Source organism: Homo sapiens, chromosome 3 (genome assembly GCF_000001405.40).
Source record: "Homo sapiens chromosome 3, GRCh38.p14 Primary Assembly".
Classification (NCBI taxonomy): Eukaryota; Metazoa; Chordata; class Mammalia; order Primates; family Hominidae; genus Homo; species Homo sapiens.
Genome location: NC_000003.12, coordinates 136,797,482 through 136,816,686, shown reverse-complemented (window position 1 = coordinate 136,816,686; position 19,205 = coordinate 136,797,482). Strand labels below are relative to the sequence as shown.

The window sequence follows — 19,205 nt, the reverse complement described above, 5'->3', positions numbered from 1 at the left end:
TGTTTTCACATAGTGATTTCTTGCCACCTCCCCACCTTTCCCCAGTGTTCAACTTATATCATCTTTATAGCTAACCATTCCAAAAGAAGCAGAGCACTTATTTCCCAGTAGTTCCAATAAAATATTGAGCTTATGTTTCATTAGCAAACTCATATACCTTAATCTAGAGACAGGGCCAGGCGCAGTAGCTCATGCCTGTAATCCTAGCACTTTGGGAGGCCAAGGCAGGCGGATCACCTGAGGTCAGGAGTTCGAGACCAGCCTGACCAACATGGAGAAACCCGTCTCTATTAAAAATACAAAATTATGGCTGGGTGCAGTGCCTCACGCCTGTAATCCTAGCACTTTGGGAGGCCAAGGCGGGCGGATCATGAGGTCAAGAGATCGAGACCATCCTGGCTAACATGGTGAAACCCCATCTCTACTAAAAAATCCAAAAAAATTAGCCAGGCATGGTGGCGGGCGCCTGTAGTCCCAGCTACTCAGGAGGCTGAGGCAGGAGACCGGCGTGAACCCAGAAGGTGGAGCTTGCAGTGAGCCGAGATCACACCACTGCACTCCAGCCTGGATGACAGAGCGAGACTCCGTCTCAAAAAAAAAAAAAATTTAGCCAGATGTGGTGCCACATACCTGTAATCCCAGCTACTCAGGAGGCAGAGGCATGAGAATCGCTTGAACCCAGGAGGCGGAGGTTGCAGTGAGCCCAGATCATGCCATTGCACTCCAGCCTGGGCAACAAAAGCAAAACTCCATCTAAAAAAAAAAAAAAAAAATCTAGAGACAGAGAATAGGGGAGAGTTCATCCTCCAAAAGAAAATCAAGATTCTTTTTACCAGAACAAACCATATAGTGATGGGCAGGTGAAAAAAGAAAATATCCACTACAGGTACATCTCAAAACAACTTTGGTTAAGATGTATATTGCTTTCCAGTATTTTTTGTGGATACCAAACTAGTGTTTCTTTTGAAAATGACAGCGAGGCAGCTGAACTGTTTCTTTAACTTAAAAAATAAGGTGAAATGTCAGCCGGCACAGTGGTTCACGTCTGTAATCCCAGCACTTTGGGAGACCAAGGTGGGCAGATCACTTGAGGTCAGGAGTTCGAGACCAGCCTAGCCAATATGGTGAAACCACGTCTGTAGTAAAAATACAAAAATTAGCCGGGCATGGTGGTGCATGCCTGTAATCCCAGCTATTCGGGAGGCTGAGGCAGGAGAGTCACTTGAACCCAGGAAGCAGAGGTTGCAGTGAGCTGAGATCACACCATTGCATTCCAACCTGGGCATTGCAGCAAGTCTCTGTCTCAAAAAAAAAAATCAAATAAATAAAAAACAAAACAAAAAATAAAGTGAAATGTCTTGCTGTTCCTATACAAAGAGATACCAGAAAATATTCTTAGAATGTATTTTAGTCTGAGTTTTCATATACTCATAATTTTTATTTAAGTGGCCCCTTTTCTGATCCCAGCAAAGAACTAGAATCCTCAAAGCCCTGAATAAGTTACCAGAGTTCCTCATTACCATTCTGGAGATACTTATTTCCTCTTATCAACATCATCGACTTCACTCTCACAATCAGATACAAAGCTCAGTACAGTTGACTCTTGAACAACATCAGTTTGAAGTAGACAGATCCACTTATATGTGGCCCTTTTTTTTTCAGTAAATATATTAGAAAAGTTTTTGGAGATTTGTGACCATTTGAAAAAATTTACAAACCATATAGCCTAGAAATATAGAAAAAAAATTAAGAAAAAGTTAGGTACATCATGAATGCATAAAATATATGTAGATACTTGTCCATTCTATCATTTACTGTCGTAAAATATACACAAATCTATTATAAAACATTAAAATTTATCAGGCCAGGTGCAGTGGCTCACACCTGTAATCCCAGCACTTTGGGAGGCTGAGGCGGGTGGATCACTCGAGACCAGCTTGGCCAACATGGTGAAACCCTATCTCTACTAAAAATACAAAAATTAGCCGGGCTTGATGGTGCACATCTGTAATCCCAGCTACTCAGGAGGCTGAGGCAGGAGAATCACTTGAACCCAGGAGGTGGAGGGTGCAGTGAGCCCAGATTGCGCCACTGCACTCCAGCCTGTGTGACAGAGTGAGACTCTGTCTCAAAAAAAAAAAAGTTAAAATTTATCAAAACTGGGCCGGGCGCAGTGGCTCACACCTGTAATCCAGCACTTTGGGAGACCAAGGTGGGCAGATCACAAGGTCAGGAATTCGAGACCAGCCTGGCCAACATGGTGAAACTCCGTCTCTACTAAAAATATAAAAATTAGCCAGGCATGGTGGCTGTAATCCCAGCTACTTGGGAGGCTGTGGCAGGAGAATCTCTTGAAACTGAAAGGCGGAGGTTGCAGTAAGCCGAGATTGCACCACTGCACTGCAGCCTGGGTGAAACAACAAAACTCCATCTCAAAAAAAAAAAAAAAAAACTTATCAAAACTTACACAAACACAGACTGTATATGGCACCATTTGCAGTCAAGAGAAATGTAAACAAACACGAAGATGCAGTATTAAATCATAACTGCGGTCAGGTGCGGTGGTTCACGCCTGTAATCCCAGTACTTGGGGAGGCCGAGGCAGGTGGACCTTTCTTACTAACATTTTCTTTTCTCTAGCTGACTCTATTGTAAGAATACATACCAAATACATATAACATACAAAATGTGTGATAATCAACTCTTTCTGTTATCAGTAAGACTTTGAGTCAACAGTAGGCTATTAATAGTGAAGTTTGGGGGGAGTCAAAAGTTGTATGTGGATTATTGACTGTGTGGAGTTTCAAAGTGGATCAAAGACCTGAATATAAGAGTATAAACTATAAAACTCTCAGAAGAAAACATAGGATAGGCTGGGCGCAGTGGCTCACACCTATAATCCCAGCACTTTGGGAGGCCTAAGCAGGCGGATCACCTGAGGTCAGGAGTTCTAGACCAGCCTGACCAACATGGTGAAACCCCATCTCTACTAAAAATATAAAATTAGCTGGGCATGGTGGCACATGCCTGTAATCCCAGCTACTTGGGAGGCTGAGGCAGGAGAATCACTGGAATCTGGGAGGCAGAGGTTGCAGTGAGCCGAGATCACGCCATTGCACTCTAGCCTGGGCAACAAGAGTGAAACTCCATCTCAAAATAAAAAAAAATGAAAACATAGAAGAAAACCTTCAATACATTGGATTTGGCAATGATTTCTTAGATGTAACACAAAAAAAGCACAGGCAATAAGATAAAAAATAGATCAGTTGGACTTTATCAAAATTAAATGTCTTTTGTGCATCAAAAACACTACCAACAGATTAGAAGGCAACCCATGAAATGGAAGAAAATATTTGCAAATCATATATCTAATAAAAGATTGATATCCAGCATACATAAATAACTCAACTCCTACAACTCAACAGCAGCAACAACAAAATCCAACCCCTTTTAAAAATAGGCAAAGGGCCAGGCACGATGGCTCATGCCTATAATCCCAGCACTTTGGGAGGCTGAGGTAGGCAGATCGTTTGAGCCCAGGAATTTGAGACCAGCCTAGGCAATATAGTGAGACCTCATCTCTACCCCCGCAAAATACAAAAATTAGCTGGATGTCCCTGTAGTTCCCAGCTACTTGGGAGGCTGAGGTGGGAGGATCAGTTGAATCCAGGAGTAGGAGGTTGCAGTGAGACAAGATAGAGCCAGTACACTCCAGCCTGGGCAACAGAGTGAGACCCTGTCTCAAAAAAAAAAAAAAAAAAGCCGGGGAGGAAGGGCAGGCAAAGGATTTGCATAGACATTTCCCTAAAGAAGATATACAAATGGGCTGTGTGTGGTGGCTCATGCCTGTAATCCCAGCACTTTGGGAGGCCGAGGTGGGTGGATCACTTGAGGTCAAGAGTTTGAGATCAGCCTGGCCAACGTGGTGAAACACCGTCTCTACTAAAAATACAAAAATTAGCCAGCCACGGTGGCAGGTGCCTGTAATCCCAGCTACTTGGGAGGCTGAGGCAGGAGAGTCACTTGAACCCAGGAGGCGGAGGTTACAGTGAGCCGAGATCATGCTACTGCACTCCAGCCTGGGTGACAGAGCAAGACACTGTCTCAAAAAAAAAAAAAAAAAAATTTGGCCAGGCGAGGTGGCTCATGCCTGTAATCCCAGCACTTTGGGAGGCCGAGGCGGGCGGATCACGAGGTCAGGAGATCAAGACCAACCTGACTAACACAGTGAAACCCATCTCTAGTAAAAATACAAAAAATTAGCCGGGCGTGGTGGCACGCGCCTGTAGTCCCAGCTACTCAGGAGACTGAAGCAGGAGAATCCCTTGAACCTAGGAGGCAGAAGTTGCAGTGAGCCGAGATCGCACCACTGCACTTCAGCCTGGGTGACAGAGTGAGGCTCTGTCTCAAAAAAAAAAAAAAGAAGAAGATATACAAATGGCCTAGAAGCACGTGAAAAGATGAAAAGATGCTCAACATCACTAATTATTAGGGAAATGCAAATTAAAAACCACAATGAGATACCCCTTCATATTCATGAGGAAAAGTACTATCAAAACACCAAAAAATAACAAGTGTTGGCAAGGATATGTGGAAAAATTGGCATTGTTGCATTGCTGGTGGGAATTGTAAAATGCTATAGCTGACAGATACAGGAGGCAGATAAGGGAGGGTTCCCAGATAATCTCTCACCGTCCCAAACATCATATGCTTTTGTGCAGATGAGGGAACCTGCCCAGAGTCTTCCCTGGGCATGCCTGCAATGCCTGTGCACTGAGAGAATGGGGTGGAGCCACCGGGAATTCACACCTTATGCAGGGGGAAGAGCCTGGCCTCTTCAGCTCATGTGTGGTGGCCTGGTATTTAATCTGTGAGGTGAAAGCCTGTTCACAAGACCCCCTCTTTCTTTGCCGAGAGTTTTCTTTTCACCCAATAAATCTGCCCTCCTCACCCTTCAATGCATCTGCATGCCTAATTTTTCCTGGTCATGAGACAATACGCTGGATTTTAGCTGAACTAAGGAGCAGAAAATCCTGCATCATAACCACTGGGGAAACTGGTATAACGATTCCTCAAAAAATTAAAGACAGATTTGCCATATGATCCAGTACTTTTACTTCTTTTTCTTTTTTTCTTTTTTCCTTTTTTTTAAATTTGAGACAGTGTCTCACTCTGTCATCCAGGCTGGAGTGCAATGGCATGATCTTAGCTCACTACAACCTCCACCTCCCAGGTTCAAGTGATCTTCCCACCTCAGCCTCCAGAGTAGTTAGGACTACAGGTCTGTGCCACCATGCCAGCTAATTTTTGTAGAGACGCAGTTTCACCATGTTGGCCAGTCTGGTATCGAACGCCTGACCTCAGATGATCTGCCCACCTCGGCCTCCCAAAGTGCTGGGATTTCAGGCATGAGCCACTGTGCCTAGCCTGATCCAGTCATTTTACTTATGATACATAAACAAAAGAAGTGAAATGAGAGACTTGAACAGATATTTGTACACCCATGTTCATAGCAGCATTAATCACAATAGCTAAAATGTGGAAGTAACTCAAGTGTTTGTCAATGGATGAATGAATTTAAAAAGTATGGTATACACAGACAGTGAAATATAATTCAGCCTTGAAAAGGAAGGACATTCTGACACATGCTATTACATGCATGAACCTTAATAATATTATGCTAAGTGAAATAGGCCAAAAGGACAAATACAAATACTTTATTATTCCACTTATATGAGGTACCTAGAGTAGTCAAATTCATACAGACAGAAAGTAGAATGGTGGTACTGAGGCTGGGGTGGAGAATGGGGACTTAGTGTTTAATGGTACAAAGTTTCCGTTGGGAAAGACAGAAGAGTTCTGCAGATGGGTGGTGGTGATGGTTGAACAACAATGTGCATATGTTTAATGCCATAGAACTGTTCACTTAAAAATGACTAAAATGGGGGAACACTTAGTTTATTTTAAAGAATAAAGTGTTGCCTTGATTCTAGAATCACAAATAAAGCCAGTTGAAGTCTTTAAGCTAAATTTATTATAACTTTTTTTTTTTTGAGAAAGAGTCTCACTCTATTGCCCAGGCTGGAGTGCAGTGGTGCAATCTTGGCTCACTGCAGGCTCTACCTCCTGGGTTCAAGTGATTCTTGTGCCTCAGCCTCCCAAGTAGCTGGGGTTACAAGCACCTGCCACTACGCCTGGCTAATTTTTGTATTTTTTGTAGAGACAGGGTTTCACCATGTTGGTCAGGCTGGTCTCGAACTCCTGACCTCAGGTGATCTGCCTGCCTCGACCTCCAAAAATGCTGGGATTACAGGCATGAGCCACCGTGCACAGCCTATAATTTTGTCATTGATTGTCTTTTGCCAAATAGTTTGAACCATAACCATAACCATAATCTTTTTCCTTTCCTTTTCTTTTCTTTTCTTTTCTTTTTTTTTTTTTTTTTTTGAGACAGAGTCACTCTGTAACCCAGGCTAGAGTGCAGTGGCTTGATCTCAGCTCACTGCAGCCTCCACCTCCAGGTTCAAGAGGTTCTTTGAGTAGCTGGGAGTACAGGCCTGTGCCACCATGCCCAGTTAATTTTTTGTATTTTTAGTGGAGATGGGGTTTCACCATATTGGCCAGGCTGGTCTTGAACTTCTGGCCTCAAGTGATCCACCTGCCTTGGCCTCCCAAAGTCCTGAGATTACAGGCATGAGCCACTGAGCCCACCCTGTAATCTTTTTAAATAAAAAATATTTGAATGAGGCCGGGCGTAGGAGAATCACTTGAGCCTGGGAGGCAGAGGTTGTGGTGAGCCAAGATCACGCCATTGCACTCCAGCCTGGACGACAGACTGAGACTCCGTCTCAGTCAATCAATCAATCAATCAATTTGAATGAGGTAAGGCAGGGGTGGAGTTGAAAAAGGTTGAAAACAAAGGAAGATAAAAAATTGCACTTCAGAAAAATCTCCTCAAATTGACAAGAAGCAGGATAGCTTCAGGAGGGAATGAGTGGATGTTCAGCATATTCTCCTCCTCTGGAGCATTGCTAAGGAGTGGTCCCAGGTGGGGTTGCTTGAGGCACAACCAAATGACCTTCTGACCTCCACCTGTCCCAAAACTGGATCTGTGAAACACTGGATTTGATCCGTAACAATGGGGATGCAGAGAAATTTAAATGGGTTGCAATATACAAACTAAGTGCCTTTCATGGAATTTATAATTCCCAAACTCACAAGTGGTGTTGAGCAGTTGAAAAACATGCAATCTCCGGTTGGGCGTGGTGTTTCACGCCTGTAATCCCAGCACTTTGGGAGGCTGAGGCGGGCTGATCACGAGGTCAGGAGATCGAGACCATCCTGGCTAACATGGTGAAACCCCGTCTCTACTAAAAAAAATACAAAAAAATTAGCTGGGCATGGTGGCAGGCGCCTGTAGTCCCACCTACTTGGGAGGCTGAGGCAGGAGAATGGCATGAACCTGGGAGGCAGAGCTAACAGTAAGCCGAGATTGCGCCACTGCACTCCAGCCTGGGCGACAGAGCAAGACTCCGTCTCAAAAAAAAAAAAATAAATAAAAATAAAAATAAAATAAATAAAATAAAAACATGCAATCTCCTTGATTGGTGAAAACATACCTACACATTCAACTTCTCCCTTCTTTATTTCAGAAGAATGACTGCAGGATAACCTTCATGGCATGGAATGCCAAAGATGTGGCTGTGTCTTATTATTTCTACCAGTTGGCAAAAATGCACCCAGAGCCTGGAACCTAGGAGGAGTTCCTGGATAAATTCATGGCTGTAAAGCTGTGTTTTGGTTTCTAGTATGACTATACCAGAAACTGCTGGGAGAAAAGGAAAAGACTTTTGTATCTTTTACCTATTTTTATGAAGACATGAAAGAGAATTCAAAGTGTGGAATTCAGAAGCTGTTAAATAGAGAAAGACGTGCCAGAAGAAACTGTGGGAAAAACCCTCTGGTATAGCTCTTCTGATGTGATAAAGCAGAATCCTAGTGGAAATTATACCACTATGGAAAATGATCAGATGGACCATTCTGTCTCCCTTCATAAGAAAGGATATTTCTGAAGACTGGAGGAATAAATTCTTTGTCACTCAGTATGAGAAATTTGAAGATTATGAAAAGAAAATGAAAGGGTCTACACTGCAATTTCAATCAGTAATCTAAGAAGGACCTGCTCACTAGGTGCGGTGGCTCATGCCTGCAATCCTAGCAGTTTGGGAGGCCAAGGCGGGAGAATCACCTGTGGTCAGGAGTTTGAGGCCGGCCTGGCCAACATCATGAAACCCCATCTCTACTAAAAATACAAAAATTAGCCAGCCATGGTAGTGGGCGCCTGTAATCTCAGCTACTCAGAAGGCTGAGGCAGGATAATTGCTTGAACCCAGGAGGCAGAGGTTGCAGTGAGCTGAGATCACGCCATTGCACTCCAGCCTGGGTGACAAGAGCGAAACTGTCTCAAAAAAAAAAAAAAAAAAAAAAAAGGACCTACTCTTTCTCCATCTCCTTCAACTACGATCTAAATTAAAAGAAAAGAAACTCCTTTAAACATTTAGTGAAAGAAAATTCTCTGGATGTTTCCTTAATTACTTAGATTAATGGTTTATAATGCAATAATCAAAGAATTTCAAAGTCTACATAGAAAAAACCATTACAGGCCGGGTGCTGTGGCTCACGCCTATAATCCCAGCACTTTGGGAGGCCGAGGCAGGTGGATCACGAGGTCAGGAGTTTGAATCTCCCTCGCCAACATAGTAAAACCCTGTCTCTACTAGAAATACAAAAACTAGCCAGATGTGGTGGCACGCACCTATAGTCCCATCTACTTGGGAGGCTGATGCAGGAGAATCACTTGAACCAGCAGGCAGAGGTTGCAATGAGTCGAGACCATGCCATTGCACTCCAGCCTGGGCAACAGAGCGAGACACCATCTCAAAAAAAACAAAAAACACCACAATACTATATTTATGATTCTAATTGCTTTTCATGGTATTTTTATTAGTCTTACACATTAAATAATAAAATGAAGTTTACAAATTTTTAAATGGTGAAAATGGTAAATTTTATGTTATGCATATTTTGCCACAATAAAAAAATGTTAACTTGGGCCAGGTGTGGTGGTTCACACCTGTAATCCCAGCACTTTGGGAGGCTGAGGCAGGAGGATCACTTGAGACCAGAATTTCAAGACTGGCCTGGGCAACATAGCAAGACCTGATCACTACAAAAAATAAAGCAATTAAAAACAGTCAGGTGTGATGGTACACACCTGTAGTCCTAGCTACTCAGGAGGTTGAGGTGGGAGGATCACTTGAGCACAGGAGTTCAAGGATGCAATGAGCTAGGATCATGCCAGTGCATTCCAGACTGGACCACAGACCAAGACCTTGTCTTTAAAAAAAAAAATTGGGGGCTAAAAAATGCAAATACAAATGTCAAGTGTGTCACCACCCATAGTACACAGTACTCTCAGAAAAAAATATGAGTACAATTAAAACATTTTAAATCACATGAGGAATCATTGATGGGGAAACTCAAGCCAACGCAACAGGGCAGATTATCTCTGTCCCTACTTGGTTGACACTGGCACTGTTGATCCCCCTGATGTCTGGCTGTGACTCCCAGAGAATTCGCAACCCAGGTAATTTGCCTGCAGGTTTGGCTACAAGGTCACTTTGTTGCCACCATGATAACCTTCTGCCAGACTAGCTAGCACCATCAGCTACTTTCTAAGTACATAACAGTGCATGCAGCAACCTCTGGATCCCTTCCATACCATGCTAAAGCCTGAATAAGATCAGGACTGTCAACTCAGGTCTCACTCTATCTGTGCCATGTTGCTCTTTCACTCTGCTTTAGCCATCCTGTATTGGTGCAGAGCCACCCTGTGAGACTTTCTCCTGTCTTATTTCCAAACAGGGAGTGGAATCCAAGACCCTCTACTTTCAGCTTTCTTCACAGTCAATTTAATAGCCTTAATGGAATTTCTGCCTAAAGGTTAAAATCATGATTCAAGGCTGCTTACTCCACTATCTCCCCTTTTTACCCTTTCTGCACCCAAGTAAAAAGCTGAACTTTGACTCTTCTTTTTCCTAAATTAATTCCATTTTTTTAGGAGTACTAATCTCCACTCCCATCCCCAGTGGTTGGTAGATACTTGCGGCTGACTATAGAGAAGGTCATATACACCGAAATGGAAAAGAGAAGAACATGTACATTTTTTTTTTGAGACAATCATGTTCTGTCACACAGGCCGGAGTGCAGTGGCATTATCTTGGGTCACTGCAACCTCCATCTCCCAGGCTCAAGTGATTCTCCTGATGCTGCCTCCTGAGTAACTGGGATTACAGCACCTGCCACCACACCCGGGTAATTTTTTGTATTTTTTATATTTTGTATGTTTCACCATGTTGGCCAGGGTGGTCTTGAACTCCTGGCTTCAAGTGATCTGCCCACCTCGGCCTCCCAAAGGGATTACAGGCATGAGCCTGACCTTGATATATTCTTTTAAATTAAGTAAAACAGGCTGTTTCAAGCAATAAGGGAATATAAGTGTTCATGTAATTGAACAGTCCAGAGCTGCAGGCCAGTCTTCATTTAGCTCCTAAAATGACGAGATCAAGACCAAGTTTCTCTCTGTTTCTCAATTCTACTTCTTCATTGTTGGTTTCATTCTTGGCAGGCTTCTCTCCCTGTCGTTCCAAGATGACTATCAAAGGTTTCTGGACCCACAGGCTTCTTTGTTCACATGAAAGGAAGACGAGCACTTCTCCACTCCCAGTGATGAACCAAAGTCCAGAGCTGAGTCTGGTTGGACTTTCTCTTCCAATCACTGTGGTTATAAGGGTGGTGTTTACTAGCTTAAAATAACATCATATCCCATATCAACATCCCATTTCTAAAGCAGTAGAGGGGTAGCACCAGATTTCCCCGAGGTACTCGGACCCTGGGAATAAATATTAGATACCAGTTCCCAGAAAAGGGGAAATTTGTGTTGAGTGGCCCAAAACACCAAACATTCATCATCTCTGATATCTACCAAATCTGATTTGACTTACTGCTCAACAAGCATTTATTGAACAGAATACTAAAAAAATTAAAATAAAAAAACTTAAAAAATAAAAAATTAATGCAAAACAGAAATAACTTAATCTTAGCAACTCTTTCCTGTGGTTGGTACTTCCCCATCAAGATCCTTTCTGACTCCTGATCTGTGCTCTAGAAAAAAAATGTTTAAATAATATCCAGTAGTTGTACTTGATACACTAAAATCCACTACCTAAGAGTCCTCTGCTCAGATTTAACTATGAAAATACAAACAAAAGGCAAGGCAGTGGGGAGGGAATCTGCTGTGAGGAATCACCAGAGCTAGGCCCCAGTGGAAGTATTGGGGGCCTAATGGCAAAGAACAATCAGCCTGCCACCAAATTTCCTAAATGCAGAGTAACTTCTCTCTCCATTAATCTGGAAAGACTCTTTCATTTTAAAACTCAAGATGTGACTGCTCACTGTGGGTATTTAATGTTATATGTAATAATAACAAATGTGATAAAATTAGAGTGAAATCTGCTTCAGCTGTAAGGTGGTTTATGAACCACATTAATGATCTTTAAGGAGATGTGGACATGCAGACTGGCAGCCTGCCCACACAGCAGGTGGTGTTAGGCACAGGCTCCTAAGGGGGGATAGAAGGCTTGAGTTCTATTAGCTCTGCTGCTCAGTAGCTGTGTGACCTTGAGCAAACCCATTAACCCCTCTGGACCTACAAGTTCCTCAGCTCTAAAATGGCAGAGTTAAACTTGATGTTTTCTAAGCTTTTTTCATCTCCAACCTTCTAAGATACTCTAATAAATTGATTTTGTTTTTAAAAGTTCATGAATGAGGCCGGGCTCTGTGGCTCACGCCTGTAATCCCAGCACTTTGGGAGGCCAAGGCAGATGGATCATCTGAGGTTGGGAGTTTGAGACCAGCCTGACCAACATGGAGAAACCCTGTCTCTACTAAAAATACAAAAATTAGCCGGGTGTGGTGGTGTGCTGTAATCCCAGATGCTCAGGAGACTTAGGCAGGAGAATCACCTGAATCCAGGAGGTGGAGGTTGCAGTGAGCTGAGATCACGCCACTGCGCTCCAGCCTGGGCAGCAGAGCGAGACTCTGTCTAAAAAAAAAAGAAAATCAAAATAAATAAATAAATAAAAAGAGTAAACATCAGGGGAAACAGGGATATTCTGGCTAAACCAACCTAACAGGATTCTTGCTGAAGATAGGCCAGGGTGATCAGACGTCACCTAGGGGATGGTGGAGGATGTGGAACCTGGTCAGATCTTGAGGGTGATCACACATCAAGTGTGGGCGGGTCTTGCTAAACCAACTTAGCAGGGTTCTTTGCTAAAACTGGATTTTTCAAAGGAGTGTACAAATGGGCCTAAGAGAAGTGTTAGGAGCTTGGCTAAAGTTTGGCCAGCAAATAATCTTTGTCAATCCTGACCCTCCCCTACAGAATCTCCAGCGAACCTCAGCAGATACACAGCCCCAGGAGACAACGTGGACAGAACTGCAGGAATCCCCACTCTCTTTGGTCTAGGGGAAAGATTAAATTTTCTAGGTTCACAGAATTCCCTTCTTCAGAGGTACCTCCAGGGACCCAGACCTTTCCCTCACCACCTGTGTTTCCTAGAAGAGGGTCCTAACTAGGGTGGGTCATCCAAGGTTTTGTCTCAGGATGAAACCTAAACTAAGATGACAAATAGAAAGCATGAATTAGTCCAGGCACAGTGGCTCATGTCTGTGATCTCACCACTTTGGAAGGCCAAGGCAGGAGTGTTGAATGGGGTAAAAAGTTTGAGACCAGCGTAGGCAACATAGCAAGACTCCATCTCTACAAAAAGTTTTTTTTTGTTTGTTTGTTTTTTAATTAGCCAGGTGTGGTAGTGCACACCTATAATCCTAGGTACTACAGAGGCTGAGGAGATTACTTGAGCCCAGTAGTTCAAGACCCCATCTCAAAAAAAAAAAAAAAAACAGAAAGAAAGAAAATAAATCACCAAAAATCTTCAGAGAGATGAATATTACATCAATGAAAGAGGAAAATGGTGTGTTTATGAAAAGGAATACCCAGAGAACATGAAGAAAGCCTTGAAAATTTAAAGTTAGACAGTAAAAATTAAAAAAACAAATACACAGTAAATGGGTTGAAAGAGAGTCTCCCATAACATAGGACAAAAGGACAAAATGATGGAATAAAGGACAGAAAAGGTAAGAAAATTAGAAGACCTGTCAGGAAGTCCAACATCCAAATACAGGGTCTAGAAAAAGAGAAGAGAGAAAACAGAGGGAAGGAAATCATCCTCAAAACAATTCAGGACAATATCCTAGAGTCTCCAGATTGAAAGGGCCTATGGAGTGCCAGCATAGCACTCTAAAGTCTGCCCACACCAGGGCATAGCTTCATGAAATTTCAGAACCCTGGGGACAAACAGATCTCCAAGATCTAGAAAGAAAACAAACAAAACCCCAAAAGTGTTTAAAATTGGCCACATTAAAAAATCAGGAATCAGAATTCTTGGGTTTCTTACCAAGCCCCTCCCACGTGCCCAGAGCTTCCAGTAAAATTTTCAGTGTTCCCCTCTTAGGTATCAGACACAGGCCCAAAGAAATTTGTAAATGATGATGAAAAAAGATTGAGCACAGTCTAAAAATCTAAAATTCTCTCACTTCCACGCTAGTTCCTAGAAGCCAGTGGGATGGATGAAGCCTTTTATTCTTCCCTTAGGCTCCAATTCCTTCACTCTACCGTTCCCTAATCACCACGTGATCATCTCCTCCTTGTCTCTCTCTCTCTCTCTCTTTCTGTCTCTCTCTCTCACACACACACAGACACACACACACACTCACTCACTTACACAGGCTTGATTTAAGGACACACGTCATGCTGCTTTTCTTGAGAGCAAACATTGTTAATTATAGCTCTGCCCAGGAAATAGGCAAAAAAATCCCAAGAGCTCAGCTTTTGACAGTAGGGAGCTGCACTTCTTTCTGGACAAAGAGTCAGACTAAATTTAGCGACAAATTCTAAATTGGTGTGAGACTTTCCTATTTCCTTGAAGCATAATGCTCTATTGATTGCAAGCTGAGTCATATATTGAGCCTGCTTCTCACACTGTCAGCTGGAAGTGTAATTCTTGAATGACTCCCAGCAGACATTTATAGATTTTTCAGTCTGTTGAGTTATAAAAGATAGCCAAAGTCTTTTTTTTTTCTGAAGACCTTCAAATAAATCTTGATCTTAACAGCTAAGTCATTGAGCTTAATTATACACAACACACTGGGAGTAATCTGCATAAAAGCGAGAGTTGAGGGAGTGAAGTTAGAAAAATAATCAAGTGAGTCTGTAAAGAAACAAAGAACAGAGGACTGACAACTGGAGTTCCACCTTCCAGTTTGCTCCTGTTTAAGACGTAGAAGAAAGAAAAAAGTAACTATTCAAGGTGAAGAGAGGGCAAAGATGGGAATAGGAACCAGGTTAGGGTACCAGGACAGGAATCAAAGAAAGAGAATACTTCAAGAAAGAGTGTATGGCAGAGTAAAATATGTTGGGGAGACCCAGAAGGGATGTGGCAGACCCATTTAGTGTCCTGTCCATAACTTCTCAGGTCTTATCGCACAGGGCAGGACTCCTGACTCCTAATGTCTTAGGACCTTTAGTCACTGGATTCTATTCTGCCTCAGCACCGTCAAGCCAGAAGTACAGGGGAATTAATGCTTCCTCATCCTCACCCAAATGCAGCAACCCTCAATCAAGGACTGACTAGAGTTGGTATGTATATATGCCAGATTCCTTACCCCTTAGAATAACTCTGAGCCTATGCTGTACACAGACTCTGAGAGTTCCCCAGCAGAATTAAGCTCCAGTTGCCCACAGTGGTAACTGACTTGAAAATACACCATTTATTATCTCCCTTCTCTTTTCTTTCTCATTTCCCTACACCCCTACTGGTGCTTCTTTGCATCATCTCCAAAAGCCTGGGATGAGAAAAAGCCATTGGTAATATATTCTGAAGATCCTTGAGAGGTCAAGGTCAGTAGAATGGAAAAGGCAGAAACTACATGGCTGGATTCTAAGAGAAGAGTTGGAGATGAGGAATTGGAGACAGAAATGGAAAACAACTCTTTCAAGAAGTTTAGCATGTAGACAAAAGAAAGAAATGGGGGAGTCACTAATGGGGCAATAGGATTGAAAAAAGTTTTAATTTTTTTTGCATTTATTTAGGAAAGATACACTCCGCTGGGCGTGGTGACTCACGCTTGTAATCCCAGCACTTTGGAAGGCTGAGGTGGGCAGATCACGAGGTCAGGAGTTCAAAATCAGCCTGACCAACATGGTGAATCACCGTCTCTACTAAAAATACAAAACTTAGCCAGGCATGGTGGCACGCACCTGTAATACCAGCTACGCAGGAGGCTGAGGCAGGAGAACCACTTGAACCCAGGAGGCGGAGGTTGCAGTGAGCTGAGATCGCGCCATTGTACTCCAGCCTGGGCGACAGAGCAAAGCTCCGTCTCAAAAAAAAAAAAAAAAAAAAAAAAAGAGGCCGGGCATGGTGGTTCACACCTGTAATCCCAACACTTTGGGAGGCCGAGGAGAGTGGATCACCTGAGGTCAGGAGTTCCAGACCAACCTGGCCAACATGATGAAACCCTGTCTCTACTAAAAATACAAAAATTAGCTGGCCATGGTGGTAGGCCCCTGTAATGCCACAGCTACTTGGGAGGCTGAGGCAGGAGAATCACTCGAACCAGGGAGGCAGAGGTTGCAGTGAGCCAAGATCACGCCACTGCACTCCAGCCTGGGGGACAGAATGACACTCCATCTCAAAAAAAAAAAAAAAAAGAGAGAGAGAGAAAAAGAAAGATCCACTCATATTTTGAGACATATGACTCTAGGACAATGTACGTGTTCCTGGAAGCTCTCCTCCCTCTCTTCTGTTTTCAACATCTCTTTGGCTGGTGTCTCTACCTTACCCAGACTTGTGTTTGTTTTTCTAAGCATTCTGCACTTAGCACTCTTCTCATCCCTTTCTATACCCTCTCTCTGGGTAATTTAATCCTCTCTCATGGCTTGAATTTACACCTATACACTACTGATTCCTAAATTTGTATCTTTAATTCAGAGCCCTTTCCTGGGCTCCAGACCCATGTATTGAACCACCTACTTTATAAGTATTCCTGTCTATCCAGCAGCTCCCTCCAATTAATCATGCAAAAATTGAACTTGCCATCTTCTCCTCAAATTCATTTTTACTTTGTGCCTAATGGGTGAATGGGACTTGTATTAGTCCATTCTCACACTGCTATAAAGGAATACCTAAGGCTGGGTAATTTATAAAGAAAAGAGGTTTAATTGGCTCACAGTTCTGCAGGCTGTACAGGAGACATGATGCTGGCCACCTCCTTGGCTTCTGGGAAGGCCTCAGAAAACTTAACAATCATGGCAGAAGGCGAAGGGGATGCAGGCTTCTCTTACGTGGCTGGAGTAGGAGCAGGACGGGAGGGGTGTCACACACTTTTAAACAACCAGATCTCACGACAACTCACTATTGCCATGACAGCACCAAGGGGGATGATGTTAAACCATAAGAAACTGCCCCCATGATCCAATTACCTCCCATCTTCAACATTGGGGATTACAATTCAACATGAGGTTTGGATGGGGACACAGATCCAAACCATATCAGTACTACAATTTATCTAGTTGCCCATATCAGAAAAATGGAACTCATCCTAAACCATACCCTCTGTCATCACCTTCATCCAATCAGTCATAAGTTGAGTAAATCGTTTCCACTTCTTTAACATCTCCCAAGTTAACACATTCCTTCCATCCCCTCTGCTCCTGCCTGAGTTTAGGCTATCATTATCTCTTGCACAGGCCATAAAGGTCTTTTAAGTGGTCACAAAGTTCTCCTAAATAGTCTCACTGCTTTTAGCCTTGACTCTTTCAATACATTTTTCCACCCTTCTGCCAAATAGATTCTCTGCTATTTAAAACATTTCCAGGTCTCTGGGAGAGTTGGTGTGAAGGGAGCATTTAGAGGTGTGCGGATAGTCAGAATTGGGGAAATTTGTGTTGTGCACCCAGCTTGAAGACTTACTTGATCAGACTTAGGGATCTCTCATATCCTTTTCTGTAGGTCCAAAACAAGAATCTGTCCCTCCTCCACCAAAGATAATGACTATCTTGGAATCTTTTCCTGGGGTCAATCCCTGTGAATCAGGATAGAGATAGAAAAGAAATCCCTTAGTATTTTTCATCTAAGAGGACAGCCACCAAGGAAGGACCCAAGGCTAAGAAATGGAGCTCAATAAGGATCATATACAGAGAGAAAAACTCAAGGTGCAGAAGGAATACCCCCAAGACAAGCATTTCAAGGTTAAGGCAAGGCCAACATGGCAAGATACAAGAAGGGATTTCCTTTTCTTAGAAAATTCTTGTTTAGAAAGTTTATTCCGGACCTGAGAGGTAGACGTTCCCATTCTTGCTCCCACACAGGACAGCAATAATATGTCCTAAGACAATGGTCCTCCACCTGAGGAATGTGTGTAGCCTTAGAAGCATGTGAAGACTTTCCAAAGGATTCAAGTGCAAGATGGTTCTAAGAAAACCAAATTTCAGGCCAGGTGCAGCTGCTCACGCCTGTAATCCCAGGACTTTGGGAGGCCGAGGCAGACAGATCATTCGAGGTCAGAAGTTCTAGGCCAACATGGTGAAACCCCATCTCTACTAAAAATACAAAAATCAGCCCAGCATGGTGGTGTACGCCTGTAGTCCCAGCTATTAGGGGGGCTGGGGCAGGAGAATCGCTTGAACCTGGGAGGCGGAGGCTGCAGTGAGCCGAGATCATGCCACTGCACTCCACCCTGGTGACAGAACAAGACCCCATCTCAAAAAAAGGAAAGAATTGAAGAAAAGAAAATCAAATTTCAGATCCTCAACTTTCTTGTTTCTTTTTTGCTAAATGTTTGGTACTGATTTTTATCTCTCAGGTTCTCATTTCCTATCTACCATTTTTACAGTTATCCTTCCCCCTCTGCACTAAAGAGAGCACACACTTCCCACCCATCCTGAATCTCACTCTAGTGCACCAAGAAAGAGTGAAAGGATGTGTGGGTGGTGTGTGTCTGTGGTGTGTTTGGTGTGTGTGTGTGTGCGTGCGTGTGCGTGTGTGTGTGTGTTGGAGGAGGTATGATATTTTGGTCTTAGTGCTGAGAAAGTGAATCATTGGATAACAAGATTGTTTATAAGCCTGGTGTTTCCTATTCTTTAATGTCAACAAAATCAGAGGAGGATCTAATCAAGTTGTCAGCTGATCGTTCAACAAAAATAATTTTTTATAATATATCTTTTTTTGGCATATAACTTAGGAGGAGTTTGAAGCTTGAGTGACATTTGGTTATAACAAAATGTCTTCCATTCTTCTATTCCCATCATCTTATTTATATAAAGATTTGTCAGAGCCATATATATGTTATGTGTATATGTATACACACATAAACAAAAAAGAAATGTGAATGATTCTAAATGCTATCTCATTTCAGCAATAAAAAAATTTCACTCATGCATTCATGAAACAATTTTTAAAAATAGCCTTCCATCGGCCGGACGCAGTGGCTCACGCCTGTAATCCCAGCACTTTGGGAGGCTGAGGTGGGCGGATCATGAGGTCAGGAGATCGAGACCATCCTGGCTAACACGGTGAAACCTCATCTCTACAAAAACTGCAAAAAATTAGCCAGGTGTGGTGGCGGGCACCTGTAGTCCCAGCTACTCGGGAGGCTGAGGCAGGAGAATGGCATGAACCCAGGAGGTGGAGCTTTCAGTGAGCCGAGATCGCGCCACTGCACTCCAGCCTGGGTGACAGAGTGAGACTCCGTCTCAAAAATAATAAATAAATAAAATAAAATAGAATAAAAATAGCCTTCCATCTCATTAATAAACTTCTTTCTAATTAATTCCATTTTAATTTACATACATAATTTTTGTTGCCAAGAAGTATGATGGTGTGATCAATAAAAGACTTTCAAGTATAAAAAAATTCTGTGGGCTGGGTGCAGTGGCTCATGCCTGTAAACCTAGCACTTGGGGAGGCTGAGGCGGGCAGATCACGAGGTCAGGAGTTCAAGACCAGCCTGGCCAATGTGGT

At 42.9% G+C, this 19,205-nt stretch overlaps 1 pseudogene, besides 1 other annotated feature; it reads left to right on the top strand.

Moving 5' to 3' along the window:
- On the top strand, window positions 7,064-8,136 carry SULT1D1P2 (sulfotransferase family 1D member 1 pseudogene 2; annotated as a pseudogene).
- Window positions 10,529-10,578: an enhancer, noted in NCBI's record as "active region_20588". NCBI's record gives its function as "activates an Ori minimal core promoter by ATAC-STARR-seq in GM12878 lymphoblastoid cells {active_cell/tissue: GM12878}" and the evidence as "EXISTENCE:reporter gene assay evidence [ECO:0000049][PMID:35858748]".